Here is a 22413-nt window from a genome sequence, read left to right on the forward strand (position 1 = left end):
GGTCATATGGTAACTCTATTTTAACTTTTGGAGGAACTGCCAGACTATTTTCCAAAGTGGCTAGGATGCTTTTCTTACTGGGTTAGGAACACAGAAGTCTGCATGATCCTATAACTAAAAATAGGGAACCCAAGATCCTATAACTTTACATAGGATCTATAATTTTAGTTATAGATCCTATAACTAAAAATAGCTTTCTGTGTCTACAGATTTGCCTATTTTGAATATTAGTTATAGGATCTATAACTAAATTTGTAGCTTTTAGTTATAGATCCTATAACTAAAAATAGCTTTCAACAAATCTTGGCTGAGTTATTTGTAAATTATTCCTAAACTAAGTTTACAAAGTAATCAACAATGTTAGAGAATTTGTGGGTAGCTTGGATTCCTATCCTTGAAAACCAATCTGCAGAGTAGAAGAAAAAGTCCTGTCTATTCCAAGGCTCCTAGAACCCTACAGGAATATCTGAGGTTTGCTCTACTGAGACTAGGACTGTCTGTCTCCTGCAGGAAACAGACCCAAGGAGAAAAGGTGTATAGGATGCTCATTTCCTAATAAGAAAGGCCTTGGGCTTTCCCTCAATCCTACAATAACTAATTGGAAATGAGGACAGAATGGCAGTGGAAAATTTCTACTTCCTTATTCTCCTTTGTAGGAGCCATAGTAATCTCTATAAATTCTAAGTATATCTCTAACATTGCCACTCCTAGGAGAACTGCTTACCCTAAATTTCATTTCAGCTTTGCTAGTTCTTGTGAGCTAATTTCTGTTAGAGACAGTTCCTTCCTGTTTGATCTCTGCTGATTCATCTTTTGTTCTTTTTTATGCCTACCCTAAAGTCTCGCTTACTCTGGGTCTAAGCTACATTAAATTATTTCTGGAACAAGGTGAGGTATAAATAAACATCAGAGTTCCTCTAGTATGAAACAGTAATTGTTCTTAGCTTGAAGACAGAAAGAAGCAGGATTATCAAGGGATCTAAATATCAACGTTAGCTCTAATAATCGATATTAGCATCTCATTTTTTGATCCAACTCAAAAAAGAGTAATAAGGATGTAGAATAACCAAAGGTAATTATGTCCATTTAGAACAAGTACTTTAAAAAAGAAATTCAAGGAAGTAAACTAATTAATTAAATGTATACTTCTTATACCCTAATGATCTAACGAGTTAATACAGTAGTAGTTATGCCTTGGGTTATAAAAAACTTTTTTTAATTTTAATTTTAATTAAATTTTTTTGAGACGGAGTCTCGCTCTGTCGCCCAGGCTGGAGTGCAGTGGCACGATCTGGGCTCACTGCAACCTTTGCCTCCTGGATTCAAATGATTTTCCTGCCTCAGCCTCCCGAGTAGCTGGGATTATAGGCATGTGCCACCATGCCCGGCTATTTTGTATTTTTAGTAGAGACAGAATTTCGCCAAGTTGGCCAGACTGGTCTCAAACTCCTGACCTCATGATCCACGCACCTCAGCCTCCCAAAGTGCTGGAATTACAGGCTTGAGCCACCGCGCCTGGCCTATTTTTATTTTTTATTATTTTTTAATTTAATAGAGATGGGGTTTCGCCATGTTGGCCAGGCTGGTCTTGAACTCCTGGGCTCAAGTTATGTGCCTGCCTCAGCCTCCCAAAGTGCTGGGATTACAGGCATGAGCCACTGTGCCTGGCCCTAAAAAGCTTTATCTTACAAGATATTTCAAGTTTATTATTTCTTTTTGTTTGTTTTTGAGATGGAGTCTTGCTCTGTCGTCCAGGCTGGAGTGCAGTGATGCCATCTTGGCTCACTGCAACCTCCACCTCCTGGGTTCAAATGATTCTCCTGCCTCAGCCTCCTAAGTAGCTGGGACTAAAGGTATGTGTCACTACACCTGGCTAATTTTTTTGTATTTTTAGTAGAGACAGGGTTTCACCATATTGGCCACGTTGATCTCGAACTCCTGGCCTCAAGTGATGCACCCGCCTCAGCCTCCCAAAGTGTTGGGATTACAGGTGTGAGTCACCGTGCCCAGTCTCATGTTTATTATTTCATGTGAACTTGAAACATCCTTGTGAGGTGGCAAGTACACATTATCATATTCAGTTAAGAAAAAGAGAAACAGAAAGGTTATTTGACTTGTACTTTATCACTTATAGCTGGTTAGTGGTGACAACCGAACTTGAACTTGGGACTTCTGAGTCCGAGGTACTTTCTGCTACATAAACCCAAGCTGCCTGCCAGACTGTAACTCTAACAGCTTAGTGTGTTATTAGCTATTTTGAGACACATATTTGCTGGGGGGTACTAGTTAATCAAAATTTAACTGACACACTGTGTAAGACTCCAGAGACCCAGCTACTCTTACGTTACTTAGAACTCAGTGAATTCTTCCTGGAGGTTTTTCAAAAATACAATTAAAGCTTATGGGCTGAAAATTACTGGGTTGCTGTACTATTTCAAAGCAAATTTCTAATTTAACTTTAAATACTAAGGAGAGTATGTTTTTAAAGTATCCTTCTCCTCTTTTTCTCTCCTCCTTCCTATTTGTTGTTTCTTTTTTTCTTTTTCAAATGTGTGTGTGTGTGTGTGTGTGTGTGTGTATATATATATACACACACACATATATATTTGAGACAGGGTTTCCATATGTTGCCCAGGCTGGTCTTCAACTTCTGGGCTCAAGTGATCCTCCCACCTGGGCCTCCCAAAGTGTTGGGATTGCAGGTGTGAACCACCACTCCCAGCCTGTTGTTTCTTAAGCTTCTAACCACCAATCTCCCCTTTCACTCTACACGTGCCCTAACTAATCTCAGCTACTCCTGAGCTTCAACTTCTACCTGCACACTGATAATCTCAGTCTGTCTCTCTCTTGCTTGCCTATTTCTCCTGAAGGCCAGTCCAGTACATCCAAAAACTTACTGAAAATTTCCACCGGGATTATCTAAAAGCACCCTAAACATCTAAAATGGAATCTGTTATCTTTGTTACATCATAATCTCACAAATTCTTCTAAATTTCCTATTTCAGCAAATAGCAGCATCTTCCATCAGCCAGCCAAGCTAGAAACATTACCCTAGACTCCCTTGTCTTTACTTCCCACAATACGACTAATACTATTTTCTTCCCCTTGAATACTACTCATTTTTGTTCTCTCGTCTTTATTCCCCCTCCGTCTGCTTTCAAACTCCAAACTCCATGTAGGTCTGTAGTAACTGCTTTCTAACTGGCCTCCCAGCCTCCAGCCTCCAGCCTCCTTCCCCTCCATCTCTTTCTTTCCTACACACCACTGCCATGGTTCTCTTTCTAAAACATGACCATGATCAAATTATGCCCTTGCTTCAAAATATCAATGATTCAATACCAGGTTCTTAGGAGTCTACATGTGATTCTGGCCCTACCCTTCTAGCAAATTCCTGTCACTTCCAGAAAAGTAAGAAAGCATAAAACATAATGGTCAAAAACATAAGCACATAGATCACCTGGGTCTGAATCCTGGCTCTGTCATTTGTTGGGAGGGGTAAGTTCCTAACCTACCAGTGTCTTGTTTTCTTCATCTGTAAAATGCAGGACAGGGGCCAGGTGCAGTGGCTCACACCTGGAATCTCAGCACTTTGGGAGCATCGCTTGAGCCCAGGAGTTTAAGAGCAGCCTGGGCAACAGAGTGAGACCCCATCTCTACAAAACAAACAAATAAATAAATAAAAAATCAGCCAGGCATGGTGGCACACACCTCTGGTTCCACCTACTTGGGAAGCTGAGGTGGAAGGATCACTTGAGCCCAGGCGGTCGAGGCTACAGTGAGCCATGATTGTGCCACTGCACTCCAGCCTGGGCAACAGGGCAAGACCCTGTCTCCAAAAGGAAATGAGGGATAATGGGGGCTATACTTACCTAAATTGTTGGGCTGTTTCTATTTCTGAAGATTAAATAGGAAAAGACATAACTGATACATTCTACGGATTACATAAATATTAGATAAAATTATCATCATCATCCAGCCATAGTAAGTAGCTGCTACTGTACGCACTTTATAATACCTTGGTCTTTGCGCTGAGAGAGCCTCTCTCCCCGCTTTGGAGGTTCAATACCACAGCCTTCAAGATCCAACTCAGAACGCTACCTCCTCTCTAAGCTCTCCCACCTCCCCCAGGCGCTTTGTTACTCTTTCCCTTTGTGCTCTGTAGCCTTAACAAAGGCTACTGTTAAACACTTAGCACTGTGTATATTTTAATGGACTTGACTGTCTCTCCCACAACTAAAGTTTGAGCTCCTAAAGATTAGGGCTGTGTCTCATTAATATGTATATCTTCACCCTATTGGCTTGCACAGTGCCCGATTTAACAGGCACATACCACGGCTCTGCTGAATGAACAGATCTTTGTCCCTCACTTCATAAAGAACTAACGAGCTTGGCTTTGCAGCACATTATTTCCTTGAGAGCCTCAGACCATGTCTTCCCCCCCGGCTTTGTGTCCTGGAAGAATGCACAGCAGACAGGAGCTGCTCAAAATGATTTGCCTGGGCCAGGGCCACAGTGACACATTCAAATCTTTCCCTTTAGAGTACTATCTGTCTACGAGATTCCTAAAGGGCTGGATTGAATGAGAAAACGTGAACCTTCACGTCAAGCTATTTATTACAAGGCACTTGAGTAAGACCATAACACTCTGCAACTTTTGCTTTCGAAATCGTGTTGATCTTCATTTCCTCCAGTGCCTAAGTCACTGTAAAGCCAAGTACAAGAGGTTTTTACTTCCCAAGTTCTTATAAAGTGTTGACATTTGTGACCTGATTGTAAATTTTTATTTCCAGCATGACTTATTTATAGTCTTAATGTCATTCTCTATCAATGACCCAAAAAAAGTTTCTTTCAATTCTAGTAGAATTGCCTTTGACCTGTTGAGATTGTAAAAAGTTAAAAAGCTGAAGAAAATTTTAGCAAGTGGAATATTTCTCATTCCAACTCACGGATTTAAAGATCAGATAGAGTGATTTTCTAAGAGGTGAAAGATCTATCCTAGCAAAAACTCAGAATTAGAGGGGGAAAAAAAGACCTGATATAAATTTTAAAAGGTTTCAATAACATTCCCACCATGTAAACTTCAGCTGGCAAACAGGCATGTGACATACAAAATTGTTTCATGACAAATGTAAATTTCATAAGTGGAAAAAAAATCACTGTATTAGTTAATTTGTTTTGCACTGGTTAATTTTTAAGGAAAATGTGTTTTGCATTAAAAATGAGGCCTTCTCTTCCCAGTTCTTCCCAGAGTCAGGAAAAGCTGGGTTGAGAGGGTAGAAAAAAAATGATGTAGGTGAATAACTATCGATGTTAAAATGTAGTAAGTACAAAAGTTTAGTTACAAAATAGAATCTTAATTTTTATAAAAATAGAAATATATTATATATATTTTATTTATATATGAAATCTGAATGAACACAGACTAAGGGAATTTCCTTGGTTATACAATTATCGGTCTTGTAAATTTCCTTTTTTTCCATATCTGTATTTTTGTATAATAAATTTGTATTGCTTACATAAACAGAGTTATTTTAAATAAAAAGAATATGCTTTTTGTTATAAAACTAGAAATGATTCTTTAAAAAGTTAAGACTGTTGTCATTTAAATTTACTTACCAAGAGATTCTCCCCCGCCACTCCTCTGTTGTTAAAAACCACACATCTAAAAACCAGGAAAGCAATTTTTGTTATTTTTACACATGATTCTTGCTCATGATATAATATTAAAGTCATCTTACTGACACTGATTTAGAGCACTAAAAGATTTTAAAAATCTGTCTTGTAGTTGTAATGTTTGGCAATTTCATCTAAATGCAATGCACTAAAATAAAATTCCAGTTCTCTAAATTCCACATGTGGGTTCAAATTAGAAAACTGTATACTGAAGTGATGTTAATTTTTCCTACCAAGAGTAGACTATTTCCAACTTCTTCCTACGCACATACGTGGGCCTCCAACAAGTGTTTTTAAAACAATTCTAAATACAAGTCAAATTTAAATGTTTTTGCTTTTTTTTTTTTTTTTTTTTTTTGAGATGGAGTCTCGCTCTTGTCACCCAGGCTGGAGTGCAATGGTGCGATCTCGGCTCACTGCAACCTCCGCCTCCCAGGGTTCAAGCGATTCTCCTGCCTCAGCCTCCTTAGTAGCTGGGATTACAAGCACCCACCACCATGCGCGGCTAATTTTTTTTTGTATTTTTAGTAGACACAGAGTTTCACCATGTTGACCAGGCTGGTCTTGAACTCCTGACCTCAGGTGATACGCCCACCTCGGCCTCCCAAAGTGCTGGGATTACAGGCGTGAGCCACTGCGTCTGGCCTTGTTTTTGCTTTAAACAAAGAAAAAATATATATCCTCTACCCATTGCATTTGTAACATTCATACGTATCTATTTATATTCTAAGAAACAGCTCTTGTTCTCTTAAGGCTCAGCAAACATGGACACCAGAATTTTACATGAGGTGTAAACATCACAGGTGAGCCACAAAGAGCCTGGCACCTGAGCTGGTGGGATGGGCCCCATTATGCTACTGCTTAGTGTTCAGTTGACCTAGGGAGGAAAGATGACCTTGTGCTTTCTCTGATCCTGTTTGCATCTGCTGGGTAAATGGGCTCAGATCAATGTAAAGGGTTTAGATCAATGTTGGCTCAAGTAAGTACTCGGTGAAAGTTAGCTATTAGTAATAATGGTAGTTGTAGTGTCGTGCTGGTTTCAAAAGTTATTCAGTATTTAAAATATGTAACTCTCATTTAACTTTCAGGCAGCCACAGGCCCAGATATGTATTTTTACCATCCTTAGACAAAATCTTGATTTGTGTCTACACAGGTTCTCACTGATTTAGTGAGTCTATATTCATAACAATTAAAATTCATTTAGTTTTTGTCTGATTACCTATTCAACCAACCAAGGCCATTTAAGATTCCAAATCTCTTCTTGCAGGGTGCTGCTGAGCACTGTACAGGTTCTAAGCAACAAAGAACCTACTGCTGTATAGAACATACACAACTCTGAGTCTCTTCTCAGGGAGTTTAGATCTCAAGGCACACCAGCTTCATTTAATGTGGTATGCAGGCTATGTTCTTGCAAAGGAATTTTCTTGCAACTGAAAAGCCATATAGAAAATTTTATTAGGCCCAGTTGAAAGAAGAGAAATGTTTAGAAACCTCAGAAATCCTATTTGAGAAAAAGCTAGAAATATTACATTTTATTAACTCACCTAAGATAAATCTTTTTGTTTTTTGAGACCATGGTCTCACTCTGCAACTCAGGCTGGAGTGCGGTGGCGCGGTCACAGTTCACTGCAGCCTCAGCCTCTCATGCTCAGGCAATTCTCCTGCCTCAGCCTGCTGAGTAGCTGGGACCACAGGTGCACACCAACACGGCTCAGCTAATTTTTATTCTTTTTTTTTTGAGACAGAGTCTCGCTCTATCACCCACACTGGAGTGCAGTGACATGATCTCGGCTCAATGCAACCTCCATCTCCCAGATTCAAGTGATTCTCCTGCCTCAGCCTCCTGAGTAGCTGGGATAACAGGCACGTGCCACCACGCCCGGCTAATTTTTGTACTTTTAGTAGAGATGGGGTTTCCCCATGTTAGTCAGATCGTTCTAAAACTCCTAATCTCAAGTGGTCTGTCTGCCTCGGCCTCTCAAAGTGTTGGGATTACAGGCGTGAGCCACCGTGCCCGGCCAGCCTGGCTAATTTTTATAAGTTATTTGTAAAAACAGGATCTCACCATGTTGCCCAGGTTGGTCTCTAACTCCTGGGCTCAAGTGATCCTCCTGCCTTGGCCTCCCAAATGCTGGGATTACAGGCATGAGCCACTGTGCCTGGCCAGAGAAATCTTAAATAAACTGTAAATACATACAGAAAAGTCAGAGTAGTCTCAGTGACTCCTTTATCTTTTCTTGCTAAAAACAATGGCAAGATATCTTGATATAAATAAGATTTCAGTTGGCCATTTGTATTTACTTGCATAAGCACTTAAGTCACACAGGAACCGGTGCTAAAGTTAATTATGATCTTGAAACTTGAAGCTCCCAGTCATTCAGAAAAGAACCACTTTAGAGTACAAACATTAAATAAGGATTAAAATGGCTTCTGGAGCAAGATGTCATCATGTGACTGCCAGTGAGAGAAGGCAAGAACACTAGTGACGGGAAAGAAAAAGATGATCTGCAAACTCATGAAAAAGCAGCCTGTACATCTGGGATTTTCTTCTAAACTGCAGAGTGGGATATTTGCACTTTCCTTCAGGCAACTTTGGAAAGTGGATCATAGTTCTGGTAGCTCTTGCTAGAGGACGAATTGTACTCACCACTCCATAAGGCTTTGATCCTAACAGTGTTCAATCAGTAGCAGTCATCATTGTATACTTAAAGCCTTGGACGTGGGGCAGAGAGATAAGGAAGAATGAGGAAGCAAAGCAGTTACAGAGGACGGCAGAAAGAAGGCTGCCATCCTGCCCTTTCTCCCACTCCAGCTGGGGATGAGCAACCAGCTCTTTTCATTTAACCCCTTTGCTACTCTGACAGTCATCAGGGAACACTGAACTAAAAGGGCTGGCTGTGAAACTACTATTCCTAAGGCATTGAAAAATCTGTTAACCTCTTCTTCTTTTTTTCTTTAGAGATAAGGTCTCACTGTTGCCCAGGCTGGAGTGCAGTGACACAATCACGGCTCACTGCAGCCTCAACCTCCTGGGCTCATGTGATTCTCAGCCTCCCGAGTAGCTGGGACTACAGGGGCATGCCACCATGCCTGGCTAATTTTTAAACTTTTTGTAGAGACGGGGTCTCCCTATGTTGCCCAGGCTGGTCTTGAGCTTGTGAGCTCAAAACAATCCTCTCGTCTTGGCCTCCTGAAGTTCTGGGATTACAGGTATGAGCCACTGTGCCCAGCCTGTTTTTATTTTTTTTTGAGACAGAGTCTTGCTCTGTTGCCCCTGCTGGAGTGCAGTGGCGCAATCTCGGCTCACTGCAAGCTCCGCCTCCTGGGTTCAAGCCATTCTCCTGCCTCAGCCTCCCGAGTAGCTGGGACTACAGGTGCCTACCACCACGCCAGGCTAATTTTTTGTATTTTTTTTAGTAGCGACAGGGTTTCACCGTGTTAGCCAGGACGGTCTCGATTTCCTGACCTCGTGATCCACCTGCCTTGGCCTCCTAAAGTGCTGGGATTACAGGCGTGAGCCACCACACCCAGCCGCCTCTGTTAAACTTCTGTAACAGTTCTCTCCAATTAATTTTTACAGTTACCTCAAACAATTCTAAAGGGCGTGTATATGAGGGAAATTGTTCTGCAAAGCATATTTTTCCTACATATTTGAACTATATAATTTTTTTCCCTCAAAACAAGGAAAACATAAAGAGAAGAAATATCAAATAAAGAACAGATCTGGTAAGAAGAACTTTCTGTGACAAGATAACCCATTAACCAGGGAAACAGGTGGGTGTCCTTTAATGAAGGTTAAATAAAAGGAAGAGACTACCTATAGCACAGAGTTTCTCAATCTTTAGTACTATGGACATTTCAGCCCAAATAATTCTTTGTAGCAGTGCTGTCCTGTGCATTATAGGATACTCAGCAGCATCTCTGGCCTCTACCAACTAGATGCCAGTAGCACATGCCCCAGGCATAACAACCAAAAATGTCTCCAGACATTGCCAAATGTTCCCTGGGGGAAAAACGGCCCCTAGGATGAGAACCACTGTCACAGTGAGATGGACCAGAGAACCTTGAATCTGCTCAGGCTTGAACCCTGGAAGTCAAGGTTGCAGTGCTGTGATCACACCAATGCACTCCGGCCTGGGTGATGGAGAGCCTGTCTCAAAAAACAAAAACAACAAAAAAAGTAGCAGACTCTGAGCTTGGGCACCTAAGAAAAGCAGTGAAACTTCCATGGGTTGTGAGTACCTGTCTAGGCCTAGTTTCCAAATCTGTAATTTTATCAGGCAATCTGAAATATTTCAGTTCTAAGATTCCCCAAATCTTCAAGTCTAACAATAGAAATGATAATCAGCAAAGGGTAGAATGAGAGGAACATTCAGAGATCAGCTAGTCATATGATTGATTTCAGGTAATAATAATAACAACAGATACTGTTTACTAGTGTTTACTATGTGCCAGATCATGTTCTAAGCACTTTACATGAATATTAATATTGGAATAACTCATTTATTCATTCAATAATATTTACTGAACTAAAGATTGAGTTAGAGCCTGTAGTAGAGAAATAAAGTATCAACATAAGGTTCCTGGCCTCAAGGAGGGTACAATCTAGTTAGATTGAAAAGATTTGCACCATATTTTCAGTTGAGTGACTACAACAAAAAACAAGACAGTATAGGATTCAATGTCCAAGGAGTGGTATAGACAATAAAACCCTATGAGGTCAGGATGGGCAAAATTGATTAAGAAAGGCTTCATAAAAGGTAGACAGATCTTATGTTAGGACTTGAAAAACAGTAAAGATTCCAGCAAAAGGCAAGTGTGAGATACATTGTAAAGGGAGTAATCCAAGCAAAGATATAAGGTGAGTATGTATTAAATGTTCTAAGGGACGAAAAATCAATTATCAGTTGAGAAGTGGTTACACGGACAGTAACAATAGAAAATAAGAATGGAAAAACAGGTTAGGACAAAAATAAACATAAGGCTCTGAATTCCAGGTAAAGAAAAGATAAGGAAGTTCTGCCTCTAGTAATGTCCAGGTAGATCCTTTAGGGCCAAACTTTCCATGGAATAATAACTATACATTCTTGAAAAAATATAAAGGCAGTAGAGAACAACAATGACAACAAAAAGCATGCAGAAACTGAATGGGAGTTGACACTAGGAAAATGAAAATCATACTGGGTGAGTTTTCAATTTTTACAGCTTCTCCTTTTTTTACCTGAGGGAAGGCAGTAGTTGGGTATTACTCAATGATAAATAAAAGTTGGATAGAAATGCGCAGTCTCTTGGCTGGGCACAGTGCTCATGCCTGTAATCTCAGCCCTTTGGGAAGCCAAGGTGGGTGGATCACCTGAGGTCAGGAGTTCGAGACCAGCCTGGCCAACGTAGTGAAACACTGTCTCTACTAAAAATACAAAAATTAGCCATGCGTGGTGGCAGGCACCTGTAATCCCAGCTACTTGGGAGGCTGAAGCAGGAGAATTGCTTGAATCCGGGAGGCGGAGTTTGCAGTGAGCCAAGATCACACCATTGCACTCCAGACTGGGCAACAAGGGTGAAATCTGGTCTCAAAAAAAAAAAAAAAAAAAAAAAAAGGGAAATGCTCAGTCTCACAGGCTTGAAGAACTATTAAAACAGTTTGGGGCAACAATAGAAGTTGAAAAACAAGCAGAAAAAAATCTTAGAATGGATACACAGAGAAAGAGCAGTAAATTCTGACTAAAAGCTGGGCCCAAATCTCTAGTTGATCCCTCATCTATACATATGTGAAACACACTACAAGCAACCCAATTAAGGCTAAAAAACTGGACAAAGATTTCAACTGCAATTTACAACAGAGGAGAGAGAGTTTGAAGTTTGAGTGCAGCCAAGTTAACTATCTAATAAAGCAAACAAAAAGCAACACTCTTTGCAAAAGTATAACAGAATCCAGAGTCTCTACAATGGATCACTCAAACTGTCCAGAACACAACCCCAAATTGCTAGACCATGAAGAAACAGGAAAACATGACCCACACTCAAGAGATAACCTAACTGGTCCCGAGATTGTCCAGATGTTAGAACTAGCAGATGAAGTTTTACAGTAGCTACTATAACTCAAGGACATTAAGGGTGGTGGGGTGGGGGAGCTTGTAAAGAATTTAAAAAAAAAAAAGAAAATCTCAGCATAATAAAATTTATTAAAATGGAAATTCTAGAAAAAAATATAAAATCTGAAATAAAAAATTCACTGGATTTGCAAATTGCAGCTCGAACATAGGATAAGAGGAAAAAGGTCCAAAAAAAGTAGAACCTCAGTGATTTGTGAAACAATATAAAAAAAAAACAACATACATGTAATTGTGGGCACGGTGACTCACCCCTGTAATTACAGCACTTCGGGAGGCCGGGGCAGGCAAATCACTTGAGGTCAGGAGTTTGAAACCAGCCTGGCCAACATGGTGAAACCCCATCTCTACTAAAAATACAAAAATTAGCCAGGCGTGGTGGCAGGTGCCTGTAATCCCAGGTACTCAGGAGGTTGAGGCAGGAGAATCGCTTGAACCCAGGAGGCGGAGCTTGCAGTGAGTCGAGATCATGCCACTGCACTCCAGCCTGGGCGACAGAGCAAGACTGTCTCAAAAACAAAACAAAAAAATCCACCACATTAACAATTACATTAAATGTAAATGAATAAGAACCTCAATTAAAAGATGGAGATTGTCAGACAGGATTTAAAAAAAAGCAAGATCTGGTTGGGCACAGTGGCTCATGCCTGTAATCCCAGCACTTTGGGAGGCCGAGGCAGGTGGATCACCTGAGGTCAGGAGTTTGAAACCAGCCTGGCCAACATGGTGAAACCCCGTCTCTACTAAAAGTACAAAAATTAGCCTGGTGTGGTGGTGGGTGCCTGTAATCTCAGCTACTTGGGAGGCTGAGGCAGGAGAACTGCTGGAACCTGGGAGAAGGAGGTTGCAGTGAGCCGAGATCATGCCATTGTACTCCAGCCCAGGTCGACAACAGTGAGACTCTGTCTCAAAAAAAAAAAAAAAAAAAAAAGAGCAAGATCTAACTACATGCTATCTACAATACACTTTAAATACAATGACATAGATACTCTGAAAGTTAAAGTGTAAATAAAGATATATCACACAAACACTCAGCAAAAAAAGAACGAAGTGGCTATGATAATATCAGGTAAAGCAAACTTCATGACAAGAGGTCAAGAAGAACATTTCATGATGATAAAAAGTTAATTCATAGGAAGACTAACAATCTTAAATGTGTATGTGTCTAACAGAGCTTCCGTATACATGAAGCAAAATTAATAGAATTAAATGGAGAAACACAAAATCTACAACTATATTTTAAAATGCTTCTATCGATAAAAGATAAAAGTGAGCTATAGTCTGAAAAACATTATCAATAGTAACCAAATTTAAATGTACAGAACACCACATCCAACAAGAGAATACACATTCTTTTCAAGAAATGATGCTATCTAAACATTTCCAAGCTTACTAAGGTCATAAAGGTGGTAAAACAAATGAACATAATTCACGTACCTTTTTCTAAGATGCTTCAGAAATCAAACGCAGTAATTAATGTGAGTATATTATTCACTATTACATGCCTAACTCATGATTATCATATGGTAATGGAGAACACTGAAAGTCAATTCATAATTCAGGAACCTCATTATCTCCCGTTTCAACTCTTTCCCTATAAAATCTATTATCTGAGTAGGAAACATGATTTATTTGCCTGTCATGTCTTGAATTTCCCTGATAAAACTGAGTCCCAATGATATCACAGGTATGCATTATCATATTAAGCAACAATCATGGGATTGGAAGAGCTAGATTTTCCCAAGCTAAGAGCCTAAGGCATCCAAGGGTATAAAATAGTAGTAAAGAAGGGTTTTCAGGAACTATCAACATTTCAAAAAGCCTCACAGAAATCATATGTTTATCTGTAATAAGCCTGTACATTCCAATCTTTTCTTTTTTAAGACGGAGTTTTGCTCTTGTTGCCCAGGCTGGAATGCAATGGTGCAATCTCAGCTCACTGCAACCTGTCTCCCAGGTTCAAACGGTTCTTTTGCCTTAGCCTCCCAACTAGCTGGGATTACAGGCGTCCACCACCACACTCGGCTAATTTTCGTATTTTTAGTAGTGACGGGGTTTCACCATGTCGGCCAGGCTGGTCTCGAACTCCTGACCTCAGGTGATCCACCTGCCTCAGCCTCCCAAAGTGCTGGGATTATAGGCGTGAGCCACCGCACCCGGCCCTACATTTCAATCTTAACCCTGTCACACACCAGCTAATTTTGATCAAATTACTAACTTTTGTTAGTAATTTCTGCTTTTTGTTTGGTAAAATGGGGTTTATAATATGTATCTTGAACTGGATATATACTAAGTAGGATAACCTATATATAATGCCTGGCATGGGGCCTATCATGTGGCAGGCACTCAGCAAAGCTGAATTTAATTGTAACCAACCAAAGTGGCAATTCTGGTTATTTCTTGCTGATCATAAGTTCTAAGCGGCCCTATGAATTTTTTTAAAAAAAGAATAGCAAGTTAATATTTAATTAATGCAGTTTATTTTTTAGGTATATTTCAAAACCAGTGGGCACAAGGGAAAAGAGTCAAAGGTGTCTTTAACGTGAGGAAGCTGGAAACGAATGATACAACCAGCATGGCTAATTCTTCCAGTGATCTTATTCTATTTTATTGCAGTCGTTTCCCTTCTCTGCTTTAGCTGTGATCCTAAAATTTACTCAGCTGCTTTCTGATGTTCTCATATTTCATTTCACTCATTTGATTTCTAGCTGTGTCTCTTTGGTATTTTTGCAGATTTTGTCAATAAAACACCCAGTTGAACTGGCCCTATTTAATAAGCAAAGTGCTCTAAATTTATAGTGCTTGTAAGTAACAGTTGTTACTCCAGTGTCACAAGTCACTGCTGGAAACTATATTACCCAAAACAAACTCAGAGACATGGATTACAGGACAATGTCGATTCCAGCGGCCACTCTACCTTAGCAAGACATTTCCTTCCTTCTCTCTGTACTACCCTTTGGCTTGCCAGGCACACTGTTGTCTCTGGGCTCTCTTGGAGTGGCATCTTCTTCGTATTAATAACAGTAAGGCGTAGGCAGTATCTCATTTTAATCTGACCAGATTACAACAGTGGGGCTCTTTCCTAAGCCATACAATGGTCCTAATTCACTTCTTAAGGTTTCATAGCTAACACTTAACAAAATGTTTGCCATAGGCCCTGTACTAGTCAACATTCTTTATACACATTACACGCAATCCACACAACCCTGTGAGGTCTAGGTATTGTTACAGATGAGAAAACAGGTGCTGAGCAATGACATAATTTGTCTGTGGGTAGGCAGGTAGTGTATGACAGAGTTAGGATCTGAACCCAGGCAGATCCGACTCAAGAATCCACTTAACCACCTCACTTCACTGCCCAGCACTACCTAAGCTGTAACACTCAGGTCTCTTTTTCCAAAGAAGACGGGTGCTCTGAACACAGAGTACCCTTTGAGGGCATGCCAACTCTGATAAAAAGAGCTTTGTCCCTGAAGGTTTAATTGAGGTGCCATGTTGCAGTGGAACAGCTAACAATTAGTGCCCTAGAGAATGGGACCACTTGTCAGTCTCCACCATAACTTTTTCTGGAATACCAAGAAAGAAGCTAACCTCTTCATTCAGTGCTTTCTAACATGCATTACTCAATCTGGCTAGTCTCACAAATGATCAGTTAACTGCCTTATTCCCAAAAGTTTAAAAACCAAATTATTTTAACAACAACAAAATGAGTTACTGAGAAAAAAATATTCTGGTGTTAATTTAAAATGATTTCTTATCTAAGACATTGCTTTTAGATGAGGGAAAGCGTGGTCAGAACTAACCCTTTTGTTTTGCTGTCTCGTTTTCCTTAGTTCAGCCTCTCTCATCTCTCCTCCCTCAGGAAGTCTGTAGCTAGACTCTCCACCCCTGTCCCCCACCAAGGCACCTCTAATGCTGCAGGAAAAGCTAAATTGCATCTAGAGCTATGATAACTTCAAATGACATTTACTTGCTACTTCCTCTACATAAAATATTCTCAGGATCACATTTTTTTTTAAAATTTATTTTTATTTTTTTTGAGACTAAGTCTCGCTCTGTCACCCAGGCTGTAGTGCAGTGGCACAATCTCGGCTCACTGCAACCTCTGCCTCCTGGGTTGCAGTGAGCCCCTCGAGTAGCTGGGATTATAGGTGGGGGCCACCATACCTGGCTAATTTTTGTATTTTTTAGTAGGGATGGGGTTTCACCATGTTGGTCAGGCTGGTCTCGAACTCCTGACGTCAAGCGATCCGCCGGCCTTGGCCTCCCAAAGTGCTGGGATTACAGGCGTGAGCCACTGTGCCCAGCCAGTACCACATTTAGAAGCAAATTTTAACAACTTTTAAATAATCTCCTACACTGAGTCTCTCAAGAATATAAATGATGAACGGTGACATCCTTGCTACCAGTAGGTGGGCTCTGCAATGAAGAATAAGAGATCCTAATTCTGTCAAACCATACCAAAAAATTAGTTTTTTCTCTAAGTAGGAAATAAAGTAACAAGACAGTAAGAAATGTCTTAAAACACAAGTTTACAATCTTGCAAAAATCCCTCGAGTGATCCTTTTGCCCTCTTCTAACAACTGTCCTGTTTCTCTCCTTTCTCTGTCAAACTCATCGAATGGGTGATCCATTCCTGCTCTGTCTACTGAGGTCATCTATCCAGCAGTTTGGCTTCCTTCCTCATCGCTCTACTGAGATTCTCATGTTTTGCTTTATTCATCCTCCTTCTCCTTTAAGTTGTATGTGACACCGCTGATCTACTCCTTCCCTCCATAAAATGACCCTTTTGGCTCTTCTGATATTTCTGAATCCCAGTACTGCCAACTCTTGACTACTCAGCGGCACGAGCTGCTAGTCATCTCCCAATATCCATCCTTCCCTTCTTCCTCAGCAACAGAACTCCCAATTTTAATTGGGACATGGCTGTCCAAAATAAAGATATGATTTTCTTTTTTTTTTGAGATGGAGTCTCGCTCTTGTCATCCAGGCTGGAGTGCAATGGAGCAATCTCAACTCACTGCAACCTCCGCCTCCTGGGTTCAAGCGATTCTCCTGCCTCAGCCTCCCAAGTAGCTGGGATTACAGGCACCCGCCACCAGGCTAAAGTTTTTGTATTTTTAGTAGAGATGGGGTTTCACCATGTTGGCCAGGCTGGTTTCGAACTCTTGTCCTCAAGTGATCCGCCTGCCTTAGCCTCCCAAAGTGCTGGGATTATAGGCGTGAGCCATCATGCATGGCCAAGATTTAATTTTCAAGCTTCCCTTGCAGCCAAGAGCGGGCCAATGTGATACAAGCAAAAGTGGTGTGCACAATTGCTGGGCTGCATCTTTAAAGGAAGATGGTACCTTTCCTATTCCTGCTTTTTTTCTCCTTCTTGGGTGTTAGAATGCAGATGTGATGGCTACTGCTGAAGCATCCATGTTATGAAGCAACATGTTAGGTTGGTGCAAAAGTAATTGGGGTTTTTGTCATTAAACATAATGGCAAATTACTTTTATTTTTGCCATTACTTTTAATGGCATTAAATTTGCCATTACTTTTAATGGCAAAAACCACAATTACTTTTGCACCAACCTAAGAATAAAAGCAGCTTAGGTTCCTGACACTGACATGTGCCATACAAGCCGTGATCTACCTTCTTAGATTTTTACATGAGAGAAATAAGTTTATACCGTCACTACTATTTTGAGTTTTTTGTCACTTACAGCCAATCTTGCTCCTTTCTGATGTACATTTCCCTGCTGCTGCTGCACAGTCTTTGCCACTTCAACTAGACTGTATGCTCTTTGGGAATAGGTTCTGATATTGTACTTTGCAGCCCCAAAATACTTATGACTGACCTAGATTTCAATGAACTTACAACTGTATAATTCTGGATGGGTCATTCTTGTTAATATTAGTTGGGGGTGGAATACAATGGTAAATGAAGGCTCTCGGTTTTATTTTTTTAAATTTTAAATTTTTTTCTTTTTCTTCCCCCCTAGTAATAATGGCTCTCAATTTTAAAAAGTCAAAAGATGATTCAGATTTTGTTGGAGTTACTGTTTTTCTCCTTGTTTTTTTTTTTTTTTGAGATGGAGTCTTGCTCTGTTGCCCAGACTGGAGTGCAGTGGCGCGATCTCGGCTCACTGCAAGCTCTGCCTCCCGGGTTCACGACATTCTCCTGCCTCAACCTCTCAAGTAGCTGGGACTACAGGCACCTGCCAACACGCCCGGCTAGTTTTTTTAAAAAATATTTTTAGTAGAGACAGGGTTTCACCGTGTTAGCTAGGATGGTCTCACTCTCCTAACCTTGTGATCCGCCTGCCTTGGCTTCCCAAAGTGCTGGGATTACAGGCGTGAGCCACCGTGCCTGGCCTTTCTCCTTGTTTTTGTTGTAGTACTGGAAATCAATTCAGAAAATGGTAAAAGGATTTAAGAAAACAAGATATTATTAATGTACATAAAATAATACCTATTAGGCTATATTACTGGAGATTTTTTGGAATGAATGGTAAAGTTTCTAACTACTTTATCAATCATATAGGTATAAATTGTTAGAGAAAACTGCCTTTTCTCCAGCTTTCTGGTTTCCATGAAGAGGGCTTCTCTCTAAACATATTTCTGGTCTTTTATTATTATTATTCATTGTTATTATTTAGTTTTGGTTTTTTTTTGGTAGAAATGGGGGGTCTCACTATGTGGTCCAGGATGGTCTCAAACTCTTGGGCTCAAGCAATCCTCCTGCCTTAGCCTTCCAAAGTGCTGGGATTATAGGAATAAGCCACTGCACCTGGCATTCCTGGCCTCTCTTATTTTATTTACCTTCCAGGAGGTGGTAGACATAACTGATTAATAAAATCTGAAAGAATTTATCTGGCTTAGCAACTTTCTCCTCTTGCGGGCAGGAACTATCCAAAAGAGTACATACTCAATCCACCAGTGAAGATGGACAGGTTATCTTCATGTAGGCAGGCCAAACATTTCCCATCTCATTCTATTAACTTTTTTTTTTTTTTTTTTTGAGCCAGAGTCTCACTCTGTCGCCCTGGCTGGAGTGCAGTGGTGCGATCTCGGATTACTGCAACCTCCACAACCCAGGTTCAAGTGATTCTTCTGCCTCAGCCTCCTGAGTAGCTGGGACTACAGGCACGCACCACCATACCTGGCTAATTTTTGTATTTTAGTAGAGAGGGGGTGTCACCATATTGGCAAGGCTGGTCTTGAACTCCTGACCTCGTGATCAGCCCACCTCGGACTCCCGAAGTGCTGGGATTATAGGCGTGAGCTACCGTGCCCAGCCTATTTATCCTTTTTTTAAAAAAACTGAGACAGAGTCTCACTCTGTTGCCCAGGCTGGAGTGCAGTGGCATGATCTTGACTCACTGCAACCTCCACCTCCCGAGTTCAAGCGATTCTCCTGCCTCAGCCTCCCAAGTAGCTGGAATTACAGGTGCATGCCATGATGCCCGGCTAATTGTTTGTATTTTTAGTAGAAACAAGGTTTCGCCATGTTGGCCAGGCTGGTCTCAAACTCCTGACCTCAAGTGATCCACCCGCCTCGGCCTCCCAAGGTGCTGGGATAAGAGGCCAGAGCCACCATGCCTAGCCTCATTCTATTTACCTTTGACTTACATAGTAAAGCGTTTGCTCACAATTATCTTAAACAAACTTAAGCCTAGTTTCCATCCCATCCATCCTGAATTTTGAATTAGTGCACCTTAACAGAAAAGTACTTTGTTAGTTTTCAGGTAGAGGGGAAAAAACAATGGTTTAACATCAACAATAAACCATTATGTCTCCTTTGACCATACGCTGGGAGTTAGGTTCTCTCTAATGTCTAAATCATATCTCGTATCTCACCAGTAAATCATTGACAGTTCCCTGGTGACCTGACATAATTCATGACTCTCCCTAAACCTTCAACCTTTACACAAATAGTAACTGGGACAGGATGGCAAGTGCACCCTGCGCCTCAGGGATGTTCATACTGAAGATACTGAAACTCTCATCTATAGCAGACATGGTAACATCTATATACTCCCACAAGGAAACTACATGTTTCTCTATCCCAAGAGGTAGATTTGCTTGTACTCATTCTTTTGAATTATAAAACATTTTCTTTTTTTTTTTTGAGATGGAGTTTTGCTCTGTCGCCCAGCCTGGAGTGCAATGGTGCGATCTCAGCTCACTGCAACCTCCGCCTCCTGGGTTCAAGCGATTCTCCTGCCTCAGTCTCCCAAGTTGCTGGGATTACAGGCACCCGCCACCACGTCCAGCTAAGTTTTTGTAGTTTTAGTAGAGACGGGGTTTCACCATGTTGGCCAGGCTGGTCTTCAACTCCTGACCTGAGGGGATCTGCCCACGTCGGCCTCCCAGAATGCTGGGATTACAGGCTTGAGCCACCACACCCGGCCTATAAAACATTTTCTACCCTGGCCAGGGAATAGATGATGAGGGAAGTAAGACATAAACATTTTCTTTTTTTTCTTTTTTTAAGACAGAGTCTTGCTCTGTCACCCAAGCTGGAGTGCAGTACCTCACTGCAACCTCTGTCTCCCGGGTTCAACCATCTCGGCCCACTGCAACCTCTGCCTCCCAGGTTCAAGCAGTTCTTCTGCCTCAGCCTCCCAAGTAGCTGGGATGACAGGTGTCCACCACCACATCCAGCTAATTTTTCTCTGTATTTTTAGTGTAGATGGGGTTTCGCCATGTGGGCCAGGCTGGTCTTCAACTCCTGACCTCAGGTGATCCACCCACCTTGGCCTCCCAGACTGCTGGGATTACAGGCGTCAGCCACTGTGCCTGGCTGACATAAACATTTTCTAAAGACCCACTTTGTGCAGGGCACCCAACCAAGTACTTTACACTTTTTTTTTTTTGAGATGGAGCCTTGCTTTGTCTCCTAGACTGGAGTGTAGTGGCACGATCTCAGCTCACTGCAACCTCCACTACCCAAGTTCAAGCGATTCTCGTGTCTTAAGATTCCTGAGTAGCTGGGATTACAGGCGCACACCACTATGCCTGGTTAACAGGGTTTCACCACGTTGACCAGGCTGGTTTCGAACTCCTAACCTCAAGTGATCCACCCACCTCAGCCTCCCAAAGTGTTGGGATTACAGGCATGGGCGACCACACCTGGCCTACTTTACACACTCTAACTAAACCCTGTGAAGTAGATGAGAACGCTGTGATGAGGGAACTTAAATTAACTGGCCAGGGTCCCTTAGAAAGTGGCAGTTCGAACATTTGAATCCAGCTTGATTCCAAAGCCCAAACACATTCCGTCATATTACACAGCTTTTCACAAACCCTGTTATCTGCTAGATCCCATGCTACAGTACCAATGACTTAGATCATTTTGGTACCTAAAGACTCAACTCAGCCTTGCGCCAAACTTCCAGATCTATTTTTATTCTTAGTGGTCTTTAAAACTACCTGGCTTTCTGTGGTAGGTTGCAAAAATATTTTGAAGCTCTTCCTATCAAGAGGCAGAGTCTATTTCCCTACACTTTGACTCTGGGCTGATCATGTGACTTGCTTTGACCAGTAGCACTGTGGGAGTTCTCAGCCTGGGCCTCAAGAGGCCCTGCAGCTTCTGCTTTTGTAATTTTGTGTGTGTGTCTGTGAGATAGAGTTTCGCTCTTGTTGCCCAGGCTGGAGTGCAATTGCGCAATCTTGGCTCACTGCAACCTCCGCCTCCCGGGTTTAAGCGATTCTCCCTCAGCCTCCCGAGTAACTGGGATTATAGGCACGCGCTGCCATGCCTGGCTAATTTTTGTATTTTTAGTACAGATGGGGTTTCGCTATGTTGGCCAGGCTAGTCTCGAACTCCTGACCTTGTGATCCGCATGCCTCAGCCTGTGGATGAGTGCTGGGATTACAGCTGTGAGCCACTGCACCCGGCTAAAATCTGGCAACCTTTATAAGCAATGGACAAAAGGTATGTGCACTGGCAACTCCAGAGCTTATAAGACTCAGTCCTTGAGTTTCAACCACATTGTTTTTATTTATTTATTTTTATTTATTTATTTTTTTGAGACAGAGTCTCGCTCTGTCGCCCAGGCTGGAGTGCAGTGGTGCCATCTTGGCTCACTGCAACCTCTGCCTCCCAGGTTCAAGCAATTCTCCTGCCTCAGCCTCCCGAATAACTGGGATTACAAGCATGTGCCACCACACCTGTCTAATTTTTTTGTATTTTTAGTAGAAACAGGGTTTCACCATGTTGGTCAGGCTGGTCTCGAACTCCTGACCTTGTGATCTGTCCGCCTTGACCTCCCAAAGTGCTGGGATTACAGGCGTGAGCCACTGTACCTGGCCCAAATTTTTTTGTTTTTATTTTTTTTGAGACGGAGTTTTGCTCTTATTGCCCAGGCTGGAGTGCAATGGCACAATCTTGGCTCACTGCACCCTCTGCCTCCCAGGTTCAAGCAATTCTCCTGCCTCAGCCTCCTGAGTAGCTGGGATTACAGGTGCCCACCATCACACCTGGCTAATTTTTGTATTTTTTAGTAGAGACGAGGTTTCACCATGTTGGCCAAGTTGGTCTTGAACTCCTGACCTCAAGTGATCCACCTGCCTCGGCCTCCCAAAGTGCTGTTATTACAGGCGTCAGCCACTGCACCTGGCCCACGTTGTTTTTAAAAG

General features: G+C 41.6%; 1 protein-coding gene and 1 non-coding gene across 8 annotated transcripts in view; one reads left to right on the forward strand and one right to left on the reverse strand.

Moving 5' to 3' along the window:
• The window catches only part of ABHD3 (abhydrolase domain containing 3, phospholipase), a 53874-nt gene that overhangs the window by 27403 nt on the left and 4058 nt on the right, over positions 1-22413 (reverse strand). For 3 of the 7 annotated variants that reach the window (NM_138340.5, XM_011525847.4, XM_047437313.1), the window contains exon 4: positions 5617-5662. The exons of 3 other annotated variants lie outside the window; for them this stretch is intronic. In NM_138340.5, the coding sequence (NP_612213.2) occupies positions 5617-5662 (46 nt within the window). Of the gene's footprint in view, positions 1-3457; positions 3588-5616; positions 5663-22413 lie in introns of those variants that run through there. One more of the 7 variants, XM_017025574.2, reaches the window with a different exon arrangement.
• MIR320C1 (microRNA 320c-1) lies at positions 5215-5286 on the forward strand. The gene has a single exon (NR_031565.2). It is a non-coding gene; the product is annotated as a microRNA 320c-1 (primary transcript).

This window comes from Homo sapiens, chromosome 18 (genome assembly GCF_000001405.40).
Source record: "Homo sapiens chromosome 18, GRCh38.p14 Primary Assembly".
Lineage (NCBI taxonomy): Eukaryota > Metazoa > Chordata > Mammalia > Primates > Hominidae > Homo > Homo sapiens.